We start from the raw sequence: 22,944 nt of genomic DNA on the forward strand, positions 1-22,944 counted from the left end.
CACCTCAGCCTCCTAAAGTGCTGGGATTACAGGCAAGAGCCACTGCCCAGCCAATGTTTTATTTTTTCAACTTTTTGTTAAAAACTAAGACAAAAGCACACACTTTGGTCTAGGCCTTCACAGGGTCAGAATTGGATCATTAGTACAATTGTCTTCCACCTCTGTATCTGTCCTATTGGAAGGTCTTCTGGGGCATTAACACGCATGAAACTGCCATCTTTGATGATAACAATGCCTTCTTCTGGAATATCTACTGAAGGACCTGCCTGAGACTGTGTTATGGTTGACTTTTTTTTTTTTTAGAGACATGATCTTGTTCTGTCACTCAGGCTGGAATGCAGTGGTGTGATTATAGCTCACTGTGGCCTCAAACTTCTAGGCTCAAGCCATTCTCCCACCTCAGGCTCCCATGCCCGGAGCCTGTGCCACCATGCCCAGCTAATTTTTAAATTTTTTTGTCTGGGCACGATGGCTCATGCTTCTAATCCCAGCGCTTTGGCAGGCCGAGGTGGGTGGAACACCTGAGGTCAGGAGTTCCAGGCTAGCCTGGCCAACATGGTGAAACCCTGTCTCATTACAAATACAAAAATTAGCTAAGCGTGGTGGCAGGCGCCTGTAGTCCCAGCTACTCCGGAGGCTGAGGCGGAAGAATCGCTTGAACCCGGGAGGTGGAGGTTGCAGTGAGCCAAGATTGCACCATTGCACTCCAGCCTGGGTGAAAAGAGGGAAACTCTGTCTCAAAAAAACAAAAAACAAAAAACAAACCACATTTTTTTAGAGACAGGGTCTTGCTATGTTACCCAGGCTGAACTTTTTAAGTAGAAGTATACTCCAACATAACAATGAAAAGTATAATATAGTAAACACGTAAACCACAGTAACATAGTCATTTTTTGTCATTATCAAGTAGAGTATTATGTAGTGTACATAATTGTTCTATATTTTTATATGACTGTCAACATACTAGGTTTGTTTATACCAGCATCACCACAGACACGTGAGTAATGTGTTGTACTAGATGTCACTAGGTGATAGGAATTTTTCAGCTCCATTATAATTTTATGGGACCACTATCATTGACCGAAATATCATTATGTGGCACATGACAGTACACTTGAATTCAGTTTTTAAGTTGAGCAGTTAAAAAAAAATTAATGAAATTAGCAGCAGTTTTATTAGAAGTGGTAGGATTATGGTTTTTTATGTCTTTTCCAAACTTTCCACAATGGTGTCAAAATTACTTATACAATTAAAAAATAAACAATATTAAGTATATAAATTTGCGTACCTCTCTTGGGTAAGGTTATATACATGTGAGGTTAAAGTTCGATGTGGAATATTTGCCTTTTTGGAATGAATTGAGGAAGGTAATTGTGCTCTAAGCTATGTGCTACTGAACTGTTGGCATGCAAATCACTCAGCAGCTTTTTTTGTTTGTTTTTTTGAGACAGAGTCTTGCTCTGTCACCCAGGCTGGAGTGTAGTGAGTGGAGGTTGCGATCTTGGCTCACTGCAACCTCTGCCTCCTGGGTTTAAGGGATTCTCCTGCCTCAGCCTCCCTAGTAGGTGAGATTACAGGTATGTGCCACCACACCTGGCTAATTTTTTTGTATTTTTAGTTAGAGACGGGATTTCACCATGTTGGCCAGGCTCATCTCAAACTCCTGACCTTAAGTGATCTTCCCGCCTCAGCTTCCCAAAGTGCTGGGATTACAGGCATGAGCTACCGAACCCGACCAAATCACTCAGCAGCTGTTTTTGTTTGTTTGTTTGTTTGTTTTTGAGACGGAGTCTTGCACTGTCACCCAGGCTGGAGTGCAGTGGCACAATCTTGGCTCACTGCAACCTCTGCCACCCGGGTTCAAGCAATTCCCATGCCTCAGCCTCCCAAGTAGCTGGGATTACAGGCACGTGCCACCATGCCCAGCGAATATTTTGTATTTAATAGAGATGGGATTTCATCATGTTGCCCAGGCAGGTCTCAAACTCCTGAGCTCAGGCCATCCGCCCGCCTCGGCCTCCCAAAGTGCTAGGATTACAGGCGTGAGCCACAGCATCCAGCCTGCAGCTTTTGATTGAGGACCATGTTTGCTAGACCTGATGTTGGCAGAGCCTGCAGAGCCTTTTGCAGTTTTCAGAAAGCTTTCATATGTTATTAAAGTTTAACCTTGTGAAATTACCAATACTGGGCTGTTTTTTCACCTAGAAGAATAGCAACTCTATATTAATTCAATATACTAATTATAAAAGGGAAGCAGTATGACAGAGTGGCAAGAACTTTGGTCTAAGAATCAAAAGACCAGGCTGGGTGTGGTGGCTTATGCCTGTAATCCCAGCACTTTGCGAGGCTGAGGCAGGTGGATCGCTTGAGGCCAGGAGTTTGAGACCAGCCTGGGCAACATGGTGAAACTCCATCTGTACAAAAAATAAAAGTTAGCTGGGTGTGGTGGCGTGTGCCTGTAGTCCCAATTATTCAGGAGGCTGAGGTAGGAGGATCACCTGAGCCTGGGAGGTTGAGGCTGCAGTGAGCCATGATCGCACCACTGCACTCTAGCCTGGGCAACAGAGTGAGACCCTGTTTCAAAAAAAAAAAAAAAAGAAAAGAATCAGGCCAGGTGCGGTGGCTCACGCCTGTAACCCCAGCACTTTGGGAGGCCAAGGTAGGCAGATCACCTGAGGTCAGTTCGAAATCATGCTGGCCAACATGGTGAAACCCCGTCTCTACTAAAAACACAAAAATTAGCCAAGTATGATAGCGGGTGCCTGTAATCCCAGCTACTCGGGAGGCTGAGGCAGGAGAATTGCTTGAACCCAGGAGGCAGAGGATGCTATGAGCTGAGATTGCGCCATTGCACTCCAGCCTGGGCAACAAAAGCCAAACTCCATCTCAAAAAAAAAAAAAAAAATCAATAGCCCTAGGTTCTGGTCCCACCTCCACATATAAAGCTAGGCAAGTCATTTCCTTCTCAGCTTCATTTTTTGTATTTGTGAACTGAGCATGATTATACTTGCCTTGTCTAATGCAGTCTCTGACTGGTAAAGTGCCTTGGCTATAGTCTTTTTTTCTTAGAATATGGGGTAGGGAACCTAGGTCTGCTGATTGTTTGTCCATTGGTCTTTAATTATAGCGTGCCAGCATGTGTCTTAGTAGATGGGGAGAAGGAAAGGGTGATTTGTGGGATATGAAATAAGCGAAACTGGAAGTCTATGTAAAGAAGTGCATTCAGGATTAGGGGACAGGGAGGGCAGGTGGTGGGAGAGGAGAGGTAGGAAGGCTTGGCCAGCCAAAGAGAGCCTTGATGTCTGAATTCTAGGAGGGAGAGAGGTAGATATTAGAATAAAGACAGAAAATATTACCTTCGCTTCTGTCTTTTCTTGTCTTGTAGGGGATTTGTGGGGCCCTTTGATCCTTTGTGTGACACTCGCATTGTAAGTACTTGCATTTTCTTTCTTTGTCATTTGAGCTAGACTAGACTTTTTTGTGGATTTCCAAAATTGTGGGGGATTTTGATTGAATATTTCATTTAGGACTTATATGACATGTTGTACATGTTATACTCCTTAGGTATTTAAGCCTCTAAAGTCACTTTCCAAATCAATTAAAATATGATGAAATTAGGCTCACCTTCCTTAACCAATGACATTTTAGTCTGTTTTAGCCATGTCTATTCAACAAACATTTATTTACTTATTTACTCTCCTGTTCCTCCCTATTATTAAACTAAGTGAATTAAGGTTTAAGCACCCTTTGTTTGCAAACATAATTCTCTGTAATCTTACTAAAAATATGAATGAGAATGAGAATAAATTAGGAGAGTTAAAAGCAAGATCATGTTTCAGAGTGTTGTACTTTTCCATACACATTGTAGGTAAAGGAAGAGGACGGGGAAGGAGAAGAAGGTTACACTAGAGAGATGAATATAACCATTGATAGAGCGGGAAAAAATACTGCCCTGGAATTCAGTTCTGAGTTCGCATTCTGACTCTGCTGTCAGCTAGCTATGTGACTTTGGGCTACTAATAACCAATGTTTGTATAATTTTTCCCAGTTTGCAGAAAACTTTAAAATACTTTCTCTTATTTTAACCTCATTGCAATAATTAAAATTATTTTATTTTTCTTTTTTTTTTTGACAAACAAGCTCAGGTTCAAAAAGGTTGAGGATTTAACCAAGATCACATAATCAGTGGTAGACCTGAGATTCAACCTCAGGTTTCCTCACTACCTATTTTGTACCTCTAGGGTTCATTACACATCTCTTCCCACCTGGTCACTCTGGGTCGCCTCTTCCATATCTGTAAAGGGAGTGGTTGAGGGTCCTTTCCAGGCTTAACCCTTTATGGGTCTAAATTCACTAAGTTTCTTGCTGACCTCTCTAATTTTTTAAATTTAAATTGAGCATATATTAATTTAGGTAATAATGTAGAGTACTATTTCTTATGCTTTTAGTAACCATGTTAAGGGATGCAGCCTAATGCCTTGATGGAGGGGTTTATATTAGATGTCCCGAGCATATATATTTTTTTTACTTTTGAAAGTTTAACCTTATAGATTATGTAGTTTAACCCCACTTAGTTGCAGAGAAAACTGGAGTCCCAGGACATCAAGTGACATATCTAGTGACAGAATTAGGATCAGTATCTGGGTCTCTTGCCTTCCAGGCTAGTTAATATTCTTTCCATCATACCATGCTGAAGCAACAGGGATTCCAGACAACAAGTGATGAGTGCTGGCCATTCTTTGCATCTGGTTGTCACGACTTGGAATGGAATATGCATATCATAGAATACAAAAGCCTGTGCATACTGCCAAGTAGCATAGCAGGGCAAGAAAGACTTACAGTGTGACTTCTCTATACTGTTTAATAAGAAGAGGTTGTGAGCTTACAGTTATTATTTTTCTTGGTAATAACACCAAGTCCAAATATTCAAAACAGTTTATATCTGTAAAATTCTTAGACAAAGAAAGGATATTTAAGTGGTTGTTCAACTACTCAATTCCAAAGCAAAACCCTTTAGTAATAATCTGTATGTTTTGATTTTTTAAAAATCAACAACTAAAAAGGTTTATAGACTGTTTCCATTTTTATTTATTATTTTTATTTTGTTTTGAGGCAGTCTCACTCAGTTACCCAGGCTGAGTTGGTGGTGTGATTACAGCTCACTGCAGCCTCAACCTCCCAGGCTCAAGCGATTCTCCCAACTCAGCCTTTCTAGTAGCTAGGACTATAGGCGTGTACCACCATGGCCAACTAATTTTTTATTTTTTGTAGAGACGGGGGTTTCGTCATGTTGCCCAGGCTGGTATCGAACTCCTGGCCTCAAGCGATCTGCCTGTCGTGGCCTCCCAAAGTGCTGAGATTACAGGCTAAGCCACCATACCTGGCCTATTTCCATTTTTAAATATCTCAACTGAAATCTTAACCCAAGAACTACAAATTCTGATGTGTCTAAAGGCTAGAATAGTAACCTAAATGCATGTAGTAGTGATATGGTGACTGTAAGCCCCTTGTACTTATGTCAGTTACACTTGATTGTTGCAGTGTTGGAATGCAGGCTCAATGTTAGAAAGTCTAACAGTTTTTTCAAGAAAATCTAGAAATTCATATTCTTATGTGAAATAAAATAGTGTCAACTTAAATTCAAAATCATCTTAAATATTATATAAGCCCAAGGCCTCATTATATATGAGCCACATTTGACCCTTCAGTTTATAACCTCTGCTTAAAAAAAAGGTCTTCAATAATTCATTTAAACATTTCAACAAGGTCAAATGGAGCACCCCTTGTAGTCCTGAGGCATTTGGAATTTGCAGTAAGGGAGCCTTGCCAAATGCTTGTGTCATTTTCCTTTTAGCACAACCTACATATTACAGATCTTCAGGTGAGGTATGGCACAGCAATCTGATTCAAAGTTTGAGAACCCATGCCTTAACTTTGTTGCCCTAAGTAAAAGATTAAGCAATTCTTACGCTGTTTCCTTTTCTCAGAATGCTGCAAAGAGACTCTGCAGATAGTGAAAAAGATGGAGGGCCCCAATTTGCAGAGGTGTTTGTCATTGTCTGGTTTGGTGCAGTTACCATCACCCTCAACTCAAAACTTCTTGGAGGGAACATGTGAGTATTATTAAAATGCATTCTTTTTTTCCTCTTGCCAGGTAGTATATCTTAGATTAAGGAATACAGGCTAGCTAGATTTTTTTTTTTTTTTGAGACAGGGTGTCACTCTGTCACCCAGGCTCGAGTGCATTGGTGTGATCATGGCTTACTGCAGCCTCTATCTCCCAGGCTCAGCGTCCCAAGTAGCTGGGATCCTCCTGCCCCAGCATCCCGAGTAGCTGGGACTACAGGCATGTGCTACTATGCCTGGCTAATTAAAAAAATTTTTTTTTTTGTAGAGATGGGGTCCCACTGTATTGCCTAGGCTGGTTTTGAACTCCTGGGTTCAAGTGATCCTCCCACCTTGGCCTCCCAAAATGCTGGGATTACAGGCATGAGCCACCATACCTGGCCTCATATTTTGTTTTAAAGAAAAATCAAACTAAATAAGGGCCAAAGAGAAGTGTTCTTAAAACCACTACCACTGTACAGAGATAACCTTGTTAAGTTAAATTATCTTAAATTATCAGAGGTCCTTTGATAAGCTTCAGATGCCCTTTCCAGGCCCTGAAATCATAGGCAGACTTTTTTGTGTAAGAAGAGTATGTACGTTTTGGGGGGCAAGTGGTCCCTAGCTTTTAACAAATTCTCAAGTATAATAGGTCTATAAACTAGAAAGGATTAAGAACCACTACCTTAGAGGTTCAGAGAAAGATATCTGTAGGAACTAGAGCAGATCATCTGGTGTTAGATGATTGACTTTTAAGGAATTTGAGAGGAGAGGAGGAAGAGTATGGGGAAAGAAAATTAAAGCATGTACTTAATTTTTTTTTTTTTTGAGATGGAGTCTCGCTCTGTCCAGGCTGGAGTGCAGTGGCACAAGCTCAGCTCACTGCAACCTCCACCTCCCAGGTTCAAGCGATTTTCCTGCCTCAGCCTCCTGAGTAGCTGGGATTACAGGTGCCTGCCACAATGCCCGGCTAATTTTTTTTTGTATTTTTAGTAGAGACGGGGTTTCACCATGTTGGCCAGGCTGGTCTTGAACTTCTGACCTCAGGTGATCCACCCCCCCACCCTTGGCCTCCCAAAGTGTTGGTATTACAGGCGTGAGCCATCGCGCCCAGCCAAAAGCATGTACTTAATAATTAATGTTAGGATGTAGATGTTATGTACCAAGAAGGAGGCAACATTCCGTTACATAGAGAAATCTATGTAATAAGCTGTGTCATAACACCCATCAGTTGTATTTATGATCTTTATTAATGTATTTTGTTTTTAAGATCTTTTTTTCAGAGCCTCTGTGTGCTGGGTTACTGTATACTTCCCTTGACAGTAGCAATGCTGATTTGCCGGCTGGTACTTTTGGCTGATCCAGGACCTGTAAACTTCATGGTTCGGCTTTTTGTGGTGATTGTGATGTTTGCCTGGTCTATAGTTGGTAAGTATGTACTTATTTCCACAATAACAGAACAGACAAAAACATGATTTAATGATGAAGACCAGATGAGGAGCAGTATAAGTCCAAAGTTAGATGTGAGTGATATGATTCTTGATAGTATTATCCATAGAACCCTCTTCCCTGAGTAGGCAATGATGGGGCTTATCTGAGTTGGATATCTGGACTTATAAGATGTGGAGAGTCACATCTTTTTTCTTTCTTTAAAAAAAAAAAAAGGTTGGGAAAGTGGATTACACTACATTTAGCCTAGTCCTGGTATATACAAGGCATTAGGTGACTTGTGGAATGACTGGGATCTTTTCCTGATAAACTAATTAAAATAAAAATAATAACATTTACAGATTGCTTATCAAAGGCCAGGCACTGTTTAAGTGCTTTATATATATTATCCCATTTAAGCCTCACAGCAACTCTAATAGAGAAATACTGTTATTAGTCCCATCTTACAGATGAAGAACAGTTACAGAGAAGTTGAGCAGCTTGCCCTAGGTTGCATTACTTGTGAGTAAGAGAGTCAAATTGCAAACCAGGCAGTCATGAACCTTTAAGAACTATACTATACCACCTTCCAGTGTAGATTGTAAGTATCATTATATAGCACTTTTCTGCTTCAGTAGAACATTTTGCTAAAGACTAGGAAGGGCCTATAGCAATGATAATGAATGCTATGTGCTCATTGTTTTTATATTCCTAAAGTTCTCTTAAGATTCCAGCTTAAATTTAGAAGTGTTCACTAGCTTCTGCTTTAATGGATAGGCAGACTGCTTAATATTTTTAAGTGTAGTAACATCTCATTGCTCTGGAACATGGTTGAAAGCTAAGAAGTAATCCAACAAAGGTCTGAGAGAGCCAGAACTGATATTCCAAAGACTGTATATTAAGCTTGGGTGCTTTTCCCATGGGGAGAGCCCCTCATTCTCTCACTGAGAATCTCATAATTACCATAAATGTAATTATACTTACTTAGTTATCCAGTGTCCAGGCTCACAGGTGATCACGAAGTAGAATCATAGGAGAGAGAAACTTTAATTCAGCAAACATTAATCACAAACTATGCGTCAGGCATAATTTTAGGCATGGTCTTTGTCCTTGGAGTTCACAATCTAACAGAGCAGCCCGACGTGAAAACATTTAAAGGCAATAGGTGTTCTAAGTGGGAAATGGAGATTTATACACAGTACAGTGGGACAGACATGATTATTCAGGAAAGATTTCCCAGAGATGTGATGATGATGATGATTAGTATTTGAGACAGAGTCTCACTCTGTCACCCAGGCTGGAGTGCAGTGGCACTATCTCGGCTCACTGTAACCTCCACCTCCTGGATTCAAGCAGTTCTCCTGCCTCAGCCTCCCGAGTAGCTGGGATTACAGCTATGTGCCACCACATCCGATTAATGTTTGTGTTTTTAGTAGAGATGGGGTTTCACCATGTTGGCCAGGCTGGTCTCGAACTCCTGACCTCAGGTGATCCACCCGCCTTGGCCTCTCAAAGTGCTGGGATTACAGACATGAGCCACCGCACCTGGCTGATTATTTTCATTTATTTATTTATTTGGCTAAAAATATATATATATATATATGTTTTTATATTATTATTATACTTTAAGTTCTGGGATACATGTGCAGAACATGCAGGTTTGTTACATAGGTATACACATGCCATGGTGGTTTGCTGCACCCATCAACCCATCATCTACATTAGGTATTTCTCCTAATGCTATTCCTCCCCTAGCCCCCCCAGCCTCTGACAGGCCCCAGTGTGTGATGTACCCCTCCCTGTGTCCATGTGTTCTCATTGTTCAACCCCCACTTATGAGTGAGAACATGTGGTGTTTGGTTTTCTGTTCCTGTGGTAGTTTGCTGAGAATGATGGTTTTCAGCTTCATACAAAGGATATGAACTCAACCTTTTACGTGGCTGCATAGTATTCCATGGTGTATATGTGCCACATTTTCTTTATCCAGTCTATCATTGATGGGCATTTGGGTTGGTTCCAAGTCTTTGCTATTGTGAACAGTGCAGCAGTAAACATAGGTGTGCATGTGTCTTTATAGTATTACCCAGTAATGGGATTGATGGGTCAAATGGTATTTCTGGTTCTAGATCCTTGAAGAATCGCCACACTGTCTTCCACAATGCTTGAACTAATTTACACTCCCACCAACAGTGTAAAAATATTTCTATTTCTTCACATCCTCTCCAGCATCTGTTGTTTCCTGACTTTTTAATGATAGCCATTCTAACTGGCGTGAGATGGTATCTCATTGTGGTTTTGATTTGCATTTCTCTCATGAGCAGTGATGATGAGCTTTTATTCATATGTTTGTTGGCCGCATAAATGTCTTCTCTTGAGAAGTGTCTGTTCATATCCTTCGCCCACTTTTTGATGGGGTTGTCTTTTTCTTGTAAATTTGTTTAGGTTCTTTGTAGATTCTGGATATTAGCCCTTTGTCAGATGGATAGATTGCAAAAATTTTTTCCCATTCTGTAGGTTGCCTATTCACTCTGATGATAGTTTCTTTTGCTGTGCAGAAGCTCTTTAGTTTAATTAGATCCCATTTGTCAGTTTTGGCTTTTGTTGCTATTGCTTTTGGTGTTTTAGTCATGAAGTCTTTGCCTATGCCTATGTCCTAAATGGTACTATCTAGGTTTTCTTGTAGGGTTTTTATGGTTTTAGGTGTTACATTTAAGTCTTTAATCCATCTTGAGTTAATTTTTGTATAAGGTATAAGGAAAGGGTCCAGTTTCAGTTTTCTGCATATGGCTAGCCAGTTTTCCCAACACCATTTATTAACTAGGGAATCCTTTCCCCATTGCTGGTTTTTATCAGGCTTGTCAAAGATCAGATGATTTTGGATGGGAGGCATTATTTCTGAGGCCTCTGTTCTGTTCCATCGGTCTATATATCTGTTTTGGTACCAGTACTGTGCTGTTTTGGTTACCATAGCCTTGTAGTATAGTTGGAGGTCAGATAGAGTGATAACTCCAGCTTTGTTCTTTTTGTTTAGGATTGTCTTGGCTATATGGGCTCTTTTTTGGTTCCATATGAAATTTAAAGTAGTTTTTTCTACTTCTGTGAAGAAAGTCAATGGTAGCTTGACGGGGATAGCATTGAATCTGTAAATTACTTTGGGCAGTATGGCCATTTTCATGATATTGATTCTTCCTATCCATCAGCATGGAATGTTTTTCCATTTGTTTGTGTTCTCTCTTATGTCCTTGAGCAGTGGTTTGTAGTTCTCCTTGAAGAGGTCCTTCATATCCCTTGTAAGTTGGATTCCTAGGTATTTTATTCTCTTTGTAGCAATTGTGAATGGGAGTTCACTCATGATTTGGCTCTCTGTCTGTTATTGGTATATAGGAAGGCTTGTGATTTTTGCACATTGATTTTGTATCCTGAGACTTTGCTGAAGTTGCTTATCAGCTTAAGGAGATTATGGGCTGAGACGATGGGGTTTTCTAAATATACAATCATGTCATCTGCAAACAGAGACAATTTGACTTCCTGTCTTTCTATTTGAATACCCTTTATTTCTTTCTCTTGCCTGATTTCCCTGGCCAGACTTTATGTTGAATAGGAGTGGTAAGAGAGGGTATCCTTGTCTTGTGCTGGTTTTCAAGGGGAATGCTTCCAGCTTTTGCCCATTAAGTATGATATTGGCTATGGGTTTGTCATAAATAGCTCTTATTATTTTGAGATACGTTCCATCAATACCTAGTTTATTGAGAGTTTTTAGCATGAAGCGGTGTTGAATTTTATCAAAGGCCTTTTCTGCATCTGTTGAGATAATCATGTGGTTTTTGTCATTGGTTCTGTTTATGTGATGAATTACGTTTATTGATTTGCATATGTTGAACCAACCTTGCATCCCAGGGATGAAGCTGACTTGATCATGGTGGGTAAGCTTTTTGATATGCTGCTGGATTCAGTTTGCAAGTATTTTATTGAGGATTTTCACAGTGATGTTCATCAAGGATATTGGCCTGAAATTTTCTTTTTTTGTTGTGTCTTTGCCAGGTTTTGGTTTCAGGATGATGCTGGCCTCACGAAATGAGTTAGGGAGGAATCCCTCTTCTTCTATTGTTTGGAATAGTTTCAGACGGAATGGTACCAGCTCCTCTTGTACCTCTGGTAGAATTTAGCTGTGAATCTGGCTGGTCATGGGCTTTTTTTGATTGGTAGGCTATTAATTACTGCTTCAATTTCAGAACTTATTATTGGTCTATTCAGGGATTCGACGTCTTCCTGGTTTAGTCTTGGGAGGGATTATGTGTCCAGGAATTTATCAATTTCTTCTAGATGTTCTGGTTTATTTGCATAGAGGTATTTATAGTATTCTCTGATGGTAGTTTGTATTTCTGTGGGATCAGTGTTGATCTTCAATTTATCAGTTTTTATTGTGTCTATCTGATTCTTCTCTCTTTTCTTCTTTATTAGTCTGGCTAGCGGTCTATTTTGTTAATCTTTCCAAAAAAAACAGTTCCTGTATTCATTGATTTTTTGAAGGGTTTTTCTTGTCTCTATCTCCTTCAGTTCTGCTCTGATCTTAGTTATTTCTTATCTTCTGCCAGTTTTTGAATTTGTTTGCTCTTGCTTCTCTAGTTCTTTTAATTGTGATGTTAGGGTGTCAGTTTTAGATCTTTCCCGCTTTGTCCTGTGGGCATTTAGTGCTATAAATTTCCCTCTAAACACTGCTTTAGCTCTGTTGCAGAGATTCTGGTATGTTCCGTCTTTGTTCTTATTGGTTTCAAAAAACTTGTTTATTTCTGCCTTAATTTCGTTGTTTACCTAGTAGTCATTCAAGAGCAGGTCGTTCAGTTTCTGTGTAGCTGTGCGGTTTTGAGTGAGTTTCTTAATCCTGAGTTCTAATTTGATTGCACTGTGATCTGAGAGACTATGATTTCCATTCTTTTGCATTCTGTTGTTATGATTTCCATTCTTTTGCCTTTGTTGAGGAGTATTTTACTTCCAATTATGTGGTCAATTTTAGAATAAGTGTGATGTGGTGCTGAGAAAAATGTATATTCAGTTGATTTGGGGTAGATATCTTTTAGGTCCATTTGGTCCAGAGCTGAGTTCAAGTCCTGAATATCCTTGTTAATTTTCTGTCTCGTCTATCTGTCTAATATTGACAGTGGGGTGTTAAAGTCTCCCACTATTATTGTGTGGGAGTATAAGTCTCTTTGTAGGTCTTTAAGAATTTGTTTTATGAACCTGGGTGCTCCTGTATTGGGTGCATATATATTTAGGATAGTTAGCTCTTCTTGTTGCATTGATCCCTTTACCATTATGTAATGCCCTTCTTTGTCTTTTTTGATCTTTGTTGGTTTAAAGTCTGTTTTATCAGAGACTAGGATTGCAACCCCTACTTTTTTTGCTTTCCATTTGCTTGGTAAATATTCTTCCATCCCTTTATTTTGAGCTTATATGTGTCTTTGCACGTGATATGGGTCTCCTGAATACAGCACACTGATGGGTCTTGACTCTTTATCCAATTTGCCAGTCTGTGTCTTTTAATTGGGGCATTTAGCCCATTTGTATTTTAGGTTAATATTGTTATGTGTAAATTTGATACTGTCATTATGATGCTAGCTCGTTATTTTGCCCATTAGTTGATGCCATTTCTTCATAGTGTCGATAGTCTTTACAATTAGTTACGTTTTTGCAGTGGCTGGTACTGGTTTTTCCTTTCCATGTTTAGTGCTTCCTTCAGGAGCTATTGTAAGGCAGTCCTGGTGGTGACAAAATCTCTCAGAATTTGCTTGTCTATAAAGGATTTTATTTCTCCTTCACTTATGAAGATTAGTTTGTCTGGATATGAAATTCTGGGTTGAGAATTCTTTTCTTTAAGAATGTTGAATATTGGCCCCCACTCTCTTCTTGTAGGGTTTCTGCCGAGAGATCAGCTGTTAGTCTGATGGGCTTCCCTTTGTGGGTAACCCGACCTTTCTCTCTGGCTGCCTTTAACATTTTTTCCTTCATTTCAGATTGGTGAATCTGACAATTATGTGTCTTGGGGTTGTTCTTCTCAAGGAATATCTTTGTGGTGTTCTCTGTATTTCCTGAATTTGAGTATTGGCCTGCCTTCCTAGGTTGGGGAAGTTCTCTTGGATAATATCCTGAAGAGTGTTTTCCAACTTGGTTCCATTCTCCCTGTCACTTTCTGGTACACCAATCAAAGGTAGGTTTGGTCTTTTCACATAGTCCCATATTTCTTGGAGGCTTTGTTCATTCCTCTTCATTCTTTTTTCTCTAATCTTGTCTTCCTACTTTATTTCATTAAGTTGATCTTCAATCTCTGATATCTTTTCTTCTGCTTGATCGATTCAGCTATTGACACTTGTGTATGCTTCATGAAGTTCTCATGCTGTGTTTTTGAGCTCCGTCAGGTCATTTATGTTCTCTAAACTGGTTATTCTAGTTAGCAATTTCTCTAACCTTTCTTCAAGGTGGTTAGCTTCCTTGCATTGCATTAGAACATGCTCCTTTAGCTCAGAGGAGTTTGTTATTACCCACCTTCTGAAGTCTACTGTCAGTTCGTCAAACTCATTCTTCATCCAGTTTTGTTCCCTTGCTGGCAAGGAGTTGTGATCCTTTGGAGGAGAAGAGACATTCTGGTTTTTGGAATTTTCGGCCTTTTTGTGCTGGTTTTTCCTCATCTTCATGGATTTATCTACCTTTGGTCTTTGATGTTGGTGACCTTCAGATGGGGTTTCTGTGTGGATGTCCTTTTTTTGATGTTGATGCTATTCCTTTCTGTTTGTTAGTTTTCCTTCTAACAGTCAGGCCCCTCTGCTGCAGGTCTGCTTAAGTTTGCTGGAGGTCCACTCCAGACCCTGTTTGCCTGGGTATCACCAGCAGAGGCTGCAGAACAGCCAAGATTGCTGCCTGCTCCTTCCTCTGGAATCTTCATCCCAGAGGGGCACCTGCCAGATGCCAGCCAGAGCTCTCCTGTATGAGGTGTCCGTCAACCCCTGCTGGGAGGTGTCTCCCAGTCAGGAGGCATGGGGGTCAGGGATCCACTTGAGGAAGCAGTCTGTCCCTTAGCAGAGTTGAAGCACTGTGCGCTGCTCTCTTCAGAGCTGGCAGGCAGGAATGTTTAAGTTGCTGAAGCTGTGCTTACAGCTGCTCCATCCCCCAGGTGCTCTGTCCCATGAAGATGGGAGTTTTATCTATAAGCCCCTGACTGGGGCTGCTGACTTTCTTTCAGTGATGCCCTGCCCAGAGAGGAGAAATCTAGAGAGGTAGTCTGGCTACAGCAGCTTTGCTGAGCTGTGGTGGGCTCTGGCCAGTTTCAACTTCCCTGTGGCTTTCTTTACACTGTGAGGGGAAAACTGCCTACTCAAGCCTCAATAATGGTGGTTGCCCTTCCCTCCACCAAGCTCAAGCATCCTAGGTCCACTTCAGACTGCTGTGCTGGCAGTGAGAATTTCAAGCCAGTGGATCTTAGCTTGCTGGGCTCCATGGGGGTGGGATCCGTTGAGCTAGACCACTTGGCTCCCTGGCTTCAGCTCCCTTTCCAGGGGAGTGAACACTTCTGTCTCGCTGGTGTTCCAGACACCACTAGGGTATAAAAAAAAACTCCTGCAGCTAGCTTGGTGTCTGCCCAAATGGCCGCCCAGTTTTGTGCTTGAAATCCAGGGCCCTGGTGGCATAGGCATCCGAGGGAGTGTCCTGGTGTGCGGGTTGTGAAGACCATGGGGAAAGTGTAGTATCTGGGCTGGAATGCACCGTTCCTCATGGCACAGTCCCTCATGGCTTCCCTTGGCTAGGGTAGGGAGTTCCCCGACCCCTTGTGCTTCCTAGGTGAGGCGATTCCCCACCCTGCTTCAGCTCACCCCCCGTGGGCTGCACCCACTGTCTAACCAGTCCCAATGAGATGAACTGGGTACCTCAGTTGGAAATGCACAAATCACCTGCCTTCTGTATTGATCTTGCTGGGAGCTGCAGACCGGAGCTGTTCCTATTCGGCCATCTTGCCAGCCACCTCCTGTTATTTTTCTTTAAAGAGATGGGGTTTCACTCTGTCATTCAGTCTGGAGTGGAATGGTGCAACCGTAACATATTGCAGCCTTGAACTCTTGGCTTCAAGCAGTTCTCCCACCTCAGCCTCCCGAGTAGCCGAGATTACAGGCATAAGCTGTAGCACCCAGCGAGAGGAATGATTCTTTTTTGTTTGTTTGTTTGTTTGTTTGTTTTTTGAGACTGGGTCTTTCTCTGTCACCCAGGCTGGAGTGCAGTGGCGCCATCTTGGCTCACTGCAACCTCTGCCTCTTGAGTTCAAACAATTATCCTGCCTCAGCCACCCGAGTAGCTGGGATTACAGGTGCCCGCCACCACACCTGGCTAATTTTTGTATTTTTATTAGAGATGGGGTTTCACCATGTTGGCCAAGCTGGTCTCGAACTCCTGACCTCTGGTGATCCGCCTGCCTTTGCCTCCCAAAGTGCTGGAATTACAGGCATGAGCCACTGTGCCTGGTCAGAAGGGTGATTCTTGATGAGTAAAACGATGATTAGGTTTTTCTTAGATGGACAAGGGAGGGATGGCGTTTAAAAGAGCTGACAATTTCAGAAGCACAGTTAGCTCAAAAAGCAGAGCAGCACGAGGCCGTTTACCATAGGAACAAATAACCTTACACATCTTTGTAAGCCTTTTCAGTACAGTTCAATAACTTTTCCAGAAAAGGGTAAAAAACTCCTTTTAGAAAGATTTCCATCCAAAATGGTTTAGTACTTGAAATAAGTCCTCGGCCTCGGCTCTCTGAAAAACTATGTTGCAGAATGCCTTTATCTCTGAGGATCACCAGTATAACTAAACTTTTAGTGTAATTCTGTGTTCTAGATGATGCCAAGCTCATGAATGTTTAGTAAATGTTAATAGTTGTGACAATATTACTGTATTAAACATTCCTTTTTGTTTTGTCTTGTTTTGTTTAGCCTCCACAGCTTTCCTTGCTGATAGCCAGCCTCCAAACCGCAGAGCCCTAGCTGTTTATCCTGTTTTCCTGTTTTACTTTGTCATCAGTTGGATGATTCTCACCTTTACTCCTCAGTAAATCAGGAATGGGAAATTAAAAACCAGTGAATTGAAAGCACATCTGAAAGATGCAATTCACCATGGAGCTTTGTCTCTGGCCCTTATTTGTCTAATTTTGGAGGTATTTGATAACTGAGTAGGTGAGGAGATTAAAAGGGAGCCATATAGCACTGTCACCCCTTATTTGAGGAACTGATGTTTGAAAGGCTGTTCTTTTCTCTCTTAATGTCATTTCTTTAAAAATACATGTGCATACTACACACAGTATATAATGCCTCCTTAAGGCATGATGGAGTCACCGTGGTCCATTTGGGTGACAACCAGTGACTTGGGAAGCACATAGATACATCTTACAAGTTGAATAGAGTTGATAACTATTTTCAGTTTTGAGAATACCAGTTCAGGTGCAGCTCTTAAACACATTGCCTTATGACTATTAGAATATGCCTCTCTTTTCATAAATAAAAATACATGGTCTATATCCATTTTCTTTTATTTCTCTCTCTTAAGCTTAAAAAGGCAATGAGAGAGGTTAGGAGTGGGTTCATACACGGAGAATGAGAAAACATGCATTAACCAATATTCAGATTTTGATCAGGGGAAATTCTACACTTGTTGCAAAAAAAAAAAAAAAAAAAGCAAAGGGCCTCTAAAGAATCAGCCTCTTTGGTCCCTTTGTGCTGTCACCTTTTTGCCATGTTTAACAGCATCTTGGTTGGCACTCTAGTCTTAATCTTGCTCCTTAACTTTGAATATGCAGTCTAAAATGTCAGTAGTCAACATGTAATTTTCCTTTGAAATTCTGAATATTCCAGTGCTGGAACTTATCCAAAAAGAAGACCTCAGAAACTTAGATTGGTAGATCTCTAGTGCATATTATCATGTGGGCACCTTCTCTTAGGGTGGAATGAGGCAGTCTGGATGCAGCATAGTTAAAAGGAGCTGTTTAATATTCTCTGTAGTCTGGCCTCTTAACTAGAAAGTAAAGCTAAATCAGAAGCCTGTATTTAACCATGTGAACAGGGAGGGATTTAGTGTTCTGATGGCTGATTAATAGAACAGCTAGATACTTAGAGCATGACGTGGGATGGGATGAGTTTACAGCTGCTGCCTTTTCATGGTGAGCTTAGCAGTTTTCTCATTAGATGTGTTTTTTTGGGTTGGGGAATAGCAATTTATTTTATTGATTTTAGACTTTATCAAGCTAATTAGCTCCCCTTTAGATAAGTACATGTTGCACATGTGCACCTACTTGTAATCTCAGATATTTATGCACACAAGTGTGAAGGTTTTTCAGGGAGCAGAGCATCTGGGACAGGCTGATTCTGAGCTAAACAGGGCTCCTTTAAGGCAATATGAACTGTTGCCTTCTATAAATTGCACATTGAGGAACTCTAATAGACAAAGATTAGGTGTCAGGCAGAAAACACTCATTGTAAATATACTATTAGTTGATAAACATAGGACTTTCTTATTCCCCAGTTTTTCTTTATCATATAATTTAAATATTTATTCATTTTGTATTTAAAGACTACCTACACATAGATATATGATTCCAAAGTCATACTTTCTCCATCCCCACATTAGCCAAGTGAATACAGGGCCAAATGGGTTCTTGGAATGATAATAACAAAGCATTACAAAGTGGGTCCCCTTGGTTCCAGCCTTGTCCAGAGTTTTTGGTTATATATTTCTATTTATTACAATTTACCTTTTAAATTGTAAAATAAACCTTTGTGTGGACAGAGCCAATGTTTCAATCTTGAATGAGTAAAGAAAATACTTTGGAACTGATCCTCATTTTGAAATTGGTTCTAAATTATTATCCATTTCCAATGTCTGAAATTCTCTTACTTCCTGCTAAAACTCTCTTTCTGCCAAAGTTGTTTCGTAATCTGTCTCAATGACTATAATGTAAAATTAAAGAAGTAACCATGCTTCTCAAGGGGGAATTAAAAGTGTTTATTGAATTTTACTCAGGCTAATTGTTTGGTCAGAAATTCCTAAGGCCACAGCTTTGGGGGGTTCGTGTAGATGTACATGGTGGGTGGGTTATAAATATTGGGACTTAAGGCAGCTTGTTCTATGTATTTATCTTTGCTCTTGGGTGACTTAGGGAATGATTTTATTTGATTTAACCTTCTTTCTGTTTGCCCCGAGAATACTCGCCAGTGGCGCTTGCAGTTGTAGCATTTACCCCAAGATAACTTTGCCTACGAAATATTTCGCTTTTATTATTTTCACATCATTCTAGTATATGGACTTTGGAAACAAAAGACATTGTTCTATTTATAGCATTCTTTTTTTTTTTTAGTAGCGGTATTTCCATTTACAAAATATAGTAACTCTTGATTACTGAAAATGTCAAATCCTAGAAAACGTAGCATGCCTATACATGATGTTAACATCATTCTCGAACAGTTGTTGGCCGAAGATTCATTTGATGAATCCAATTTTTTTGAAATAGACAATTCTGATGTTCTCTTTAGAAATAACTCAGTTTTTATCTTTTTTCACATTGAAAATCAGTTAGATTTGCTTAAGCCTCAAAGAGAATGTTTATGTAAATTAGCGCTGGCAATTTTTTTTTTTCTAAACAGGAAAAGGGTTAAATGAAGGTTGATAAAATGGATGTTCAATTGTCTTTCTGAAAGTGAGTGGCTTGAAGGGATGAATAAATATTTTCTTAATATATTCAAAAAAGTGCATTGCTTTCTGTGATGGAAGTTAAGACCTAAATGTCTGGAAGTTGTAACCCTCAACACAGCTTTTCCTGATTTGCTGCAAAGGCACATAGCTGATTATAGAAGTGAAGACGGCAAGGACGGGGACTCCAACAAAGGAAACCCTGTTGCAGGATTTGGGAACTTTCATGCTTCAGATGAAATTCAGGCATGTGAGCATCACTGCAGAATGTGGTGCATCATTGCCATCATGAGTAATCACTTGCTGCTCCTACTTCTGAGACCAAGACTCTTTTGTCATATTCTTTAGCAATAGGACGGGTAAAGACTGGATTTAATTGCTGTTCAGAGTATAAAAACTCAATTGATTCCAACATATCTGAATGTGCAGTAAAGTCTTAAAAGTCAACCGTTAATCATTAAGTCTTTTGCCTCTAAAGTCTTTTGCCTCTGAAGAGGTTTATTACATGAGTTGATTTTCATATTTTCATTTTGGTGGGGTTTTCCTGTTGTTGGGCAAGGTGGGGTCACAGGACATGGGACTAGTAAGCATTTTACTGTTTACTATATTTGTCTTTTTATAAACAGTATCTCCCAAAATGTGATTAGAAGGCTACCAAGCCTGTATTTGGACATTTAATTGTGTGCTTTATATAATGTAACTACTAACAGTATTTGGACTGCCTGTTCATTCCTGGAGACAAAAATGAAAATCTGTCAGTTCAAGTTCTTGGGTAACATCAAGTCATTAGAATTTATCTAAAGCTTATCATGATTTGATAAGACATCCATTGCATGCAGCTGTTTTAGCTCAGTGCAAAACACTGAAATTGTGATTCTTAGACTGTTTCTGAGACATTTGGATGGAAATAAATGTATAAATGTTAATTCATGTATATAAATTAGAAACACTTTTCTAGATTCTGTAGGCTTTTGTTAAAAATAGAGAATTTCTTGGGGTTTACTTAGGCCACAGAATGGCCAAATAATAATAATGACAATGATATTACTAATAATAATAGCTAACCTTTATTTGGCACTTACTGTGTGCCAGGCACTATTCTATTTTTTTAAGAATTTTTAAAATAACAGCTTTATTGAAATACACTTTACCATAAACTTCACCTTTTTATTTTTTATTTTTATGAGACAGGGACTCACCCAGGCTGGAGTGCAGTGGAGCAGTCATGGCACACTGTAGCCTCGACCTCCCTGGGCTCAAGCAATCCTCCCACTTCAGTGTCCCGAGTAGTTGGGACTACAGGCATGCGTCACTACACCTAATTGGCTAATTTTTGTAGTTTTTGTAGAGATAGGGTTTCGCCATGTTGCCTAGGCTGGTCTTGAATTCCTGGGCTCAAGCGATCCACCTGCTTTGGCCTCCCAAAACAGTGGGATTGCAGGCGTGAGCCACCATGCCTGGCTGAAATTCACCTTTTAAGATGTACAATTCAGTGGTTTTTAGTATATTCACACACAAAATTGCACAACTATCACTAACATCTAATTTTAGATCATTTTGTAACTTCACCAAGAAACCCCAGGTCTGTCAGCAGTCAGTTCCATTCCCCCTTCATCCCAGCCTCTGGCAACCACTAATCTGCTTTCTGTCACTATTGATTTGGCCAGACACTATTCTTCTGTGCTTCTCATGCATCTCCTGTAATACCAGTGCTACAATTCTCATTTTATGTGGAAAATTGAGGCACTGAGAGGTTAAGTAAATTGCCCACGGTCACACAGTAATTTGATTTACAACAGTAATAACACATTAGATGAGAACACAGTAGGACACAATTTTGAATTCCATTTTTATGTACCTGAAATGAATACACCCCTCCCCCAAGGTATTTTCCCTATTGTTAGCCTTTGTACCCTAGGTACAAATATAGGTATTTTCCCTATTGTGTTATGTACCTGAAATGAATACACCCTTCCCCCAAGGTATTTTCCCTATTGTTAGCCTTTGTACCCTAGAACTGACTGGATGTAGATAACATTTGTTTTCAGAGTAATGGAACACTGTATCAGCAGCATCTGAGAACATAAGAACAGTTGGACATTGGAAAGAGGTTTGTTGCCCTCATCCCTCCTTGAACCTCTTTTCTCTCCCGCTTCCACCACCACCACACATATATACCCCTTTTTCTCAGTCTTAAGCATCAAACAATTTCTGCCTCTTTCTTTTTAATTCTCCCAGAGGGATGGTTAATGCATCACAATTTAACTTGTCTATTCAGGTATTAATAGTCAAGGGATGCATCTGTTTGCTTATAGTACCAGTTATATTCCTAGGACCTTAGAGAGCAGTAGTGTGAGAATAGAATGCCTTTCTATTTGGGTTAAACTATGTGGGAGGAAAAAGTAACAGAGTAAAGGCTTTGCCTTAATGAAGTCAAGTGTTCTGCCTGGTGGGAAGTGGCCACACGCTGCACTGCGCTGCTCTTGTTTACTCTGTTCTTTCAGAGCCTTTGTACTTTGCCATCACTGCTAGTAATTTCTTGGTCCTTTTCAATACTCCATTTTAATCTTGATTTTTTTCTATAAATAATAAATCTGTGAAAAATCTGTAAAAAGATTTGTGACTATTAAATGTGCAACTAAAAACACTGGAAAAAGAATTTGTGTGTGCCTATTCTTGTACTGAAGGCACAGAGATTTGCTACATACTGATTTCAGATATATTGTCATCCGACAATATTGAATGCTTTGTAAATTGGGCAGGGAGCAAGTAAGAAAGGGAAGTCACATTTATTGAGCAAATGCTGTATACCATGCCAGGCACTTTATTAGTTGCTTTACAAACAGTATCTCTGATTGACAGCAGCCTTTTGAGATCAGAGGCATTATCCTTAAAGTTGGATCTGGCTGGGTTTCGAGGCTCACACCTATAATCCCAGTGCTTTGGGAGCCCGAGGAGGCAGGATCTCTTGAGCCTAGGAGTTCAAGACCAGCCTGGGCAACATAGGGAGACTCTTTCTTTAAAAAAAAAAAAAAAAGCCAGACTTGGTCTTGTGTGCCTGTAGTCCCAGCTACTCGGGAGGCTGGGGCGGGAAGATTGCTTGAGCTCAGGAGTTCGAAGATGCTGTGAGGTACAATGGTGCAACTCCAGCCTGGGCGGCAGGCTGAGACCCTGTGTCAAAATAAATAAATAAATAAAAATTTTAAAAAGTTGAGAGATCCGAGACTCAGGTTAAATTGCCCAGAGTCACATAGTGAATGGTGCAACCAGAATTCAAACTCAGGTTTTATGACTGCATGGCCTTTTTTTTTTTTTTCTATATTGGTTCTTTGCCAAATTAAAACCATACCTACCCACTTAAATGAAGCTAAGCTGGGCCAATCAGGCAATTTAGGAGCTTGGTGAGAAAAACTGGGTTTTCAGCTTTCTGCTGGGGGCTATACCTGTTCCCGCTCTTGACTTATAAACTACTTGGATAAACAAAATTCCGCATAGCCCTACACACATAATAGTTGAAAAATGTCATGGCTTTTATTTTTGGTACCAAATAAAAGAGCAGAGTGATCTGTAAAAATAAGAAGTCTGTGAAGTATTGAGAGAATGTGTATCATCCAAGAGAAGAGGAAGGGCATTCCCAATGGTAGAGAATACTTAGGAGCAAAGATAAGAGGCAAAAAGCAGGTCTGTCTGTACAGCTGTTCA

At 40.2% G+C, this 22,944-nt stretch overlaps 1 protein-coding gene across 2 annotated transcripts in view; it reads left to right on the top strand.

The window, feature by feature from the left end:
* YIPF6 (Yip1 domain family member 6) overlaps positions 1–21,898 on the top strand; it is a 38,232-nt gene extending 16,334 nt beyond the window's left edge. For both annotated transcript variants that reach the window (NM_173834.4, NM_001195214.2), the window contains 4 exons: positions 3,386–3,428; positions 5,988–6,113; positions 7,376–7,533; positions 16,497–21,898. In NM_173834.4, coding sequence (NP_776195.2) covers positions 3,386–3,428; positions 5,988–6,113; positions 7,376–7,533; positions 16,497–16,615 — 446 coding nt within the window. In that variant the 3' untranslated portion in view covers positions 16,616–21,898. The remainder of the gene's footprint in view (positions 1–3,385; positions 3,429–5,987; positions 6,114–7,375; positions 7,534–16,496) is intronic.
* Positions 21,899–22,944: the final 1,046 nt, after the last annotated feature.

This window comes from Homo sapiens, chromosome X, assembly GCF_000001405.40.
Source record: "Homo sapiens chromosome X, GRCh38.p14 Primary Assembly".
Lineage (NCBI taxonomy): Eukaryota > Metazoa > Chordata > Mammalia > Primates > Hominidae > Homo > Homo sapiens.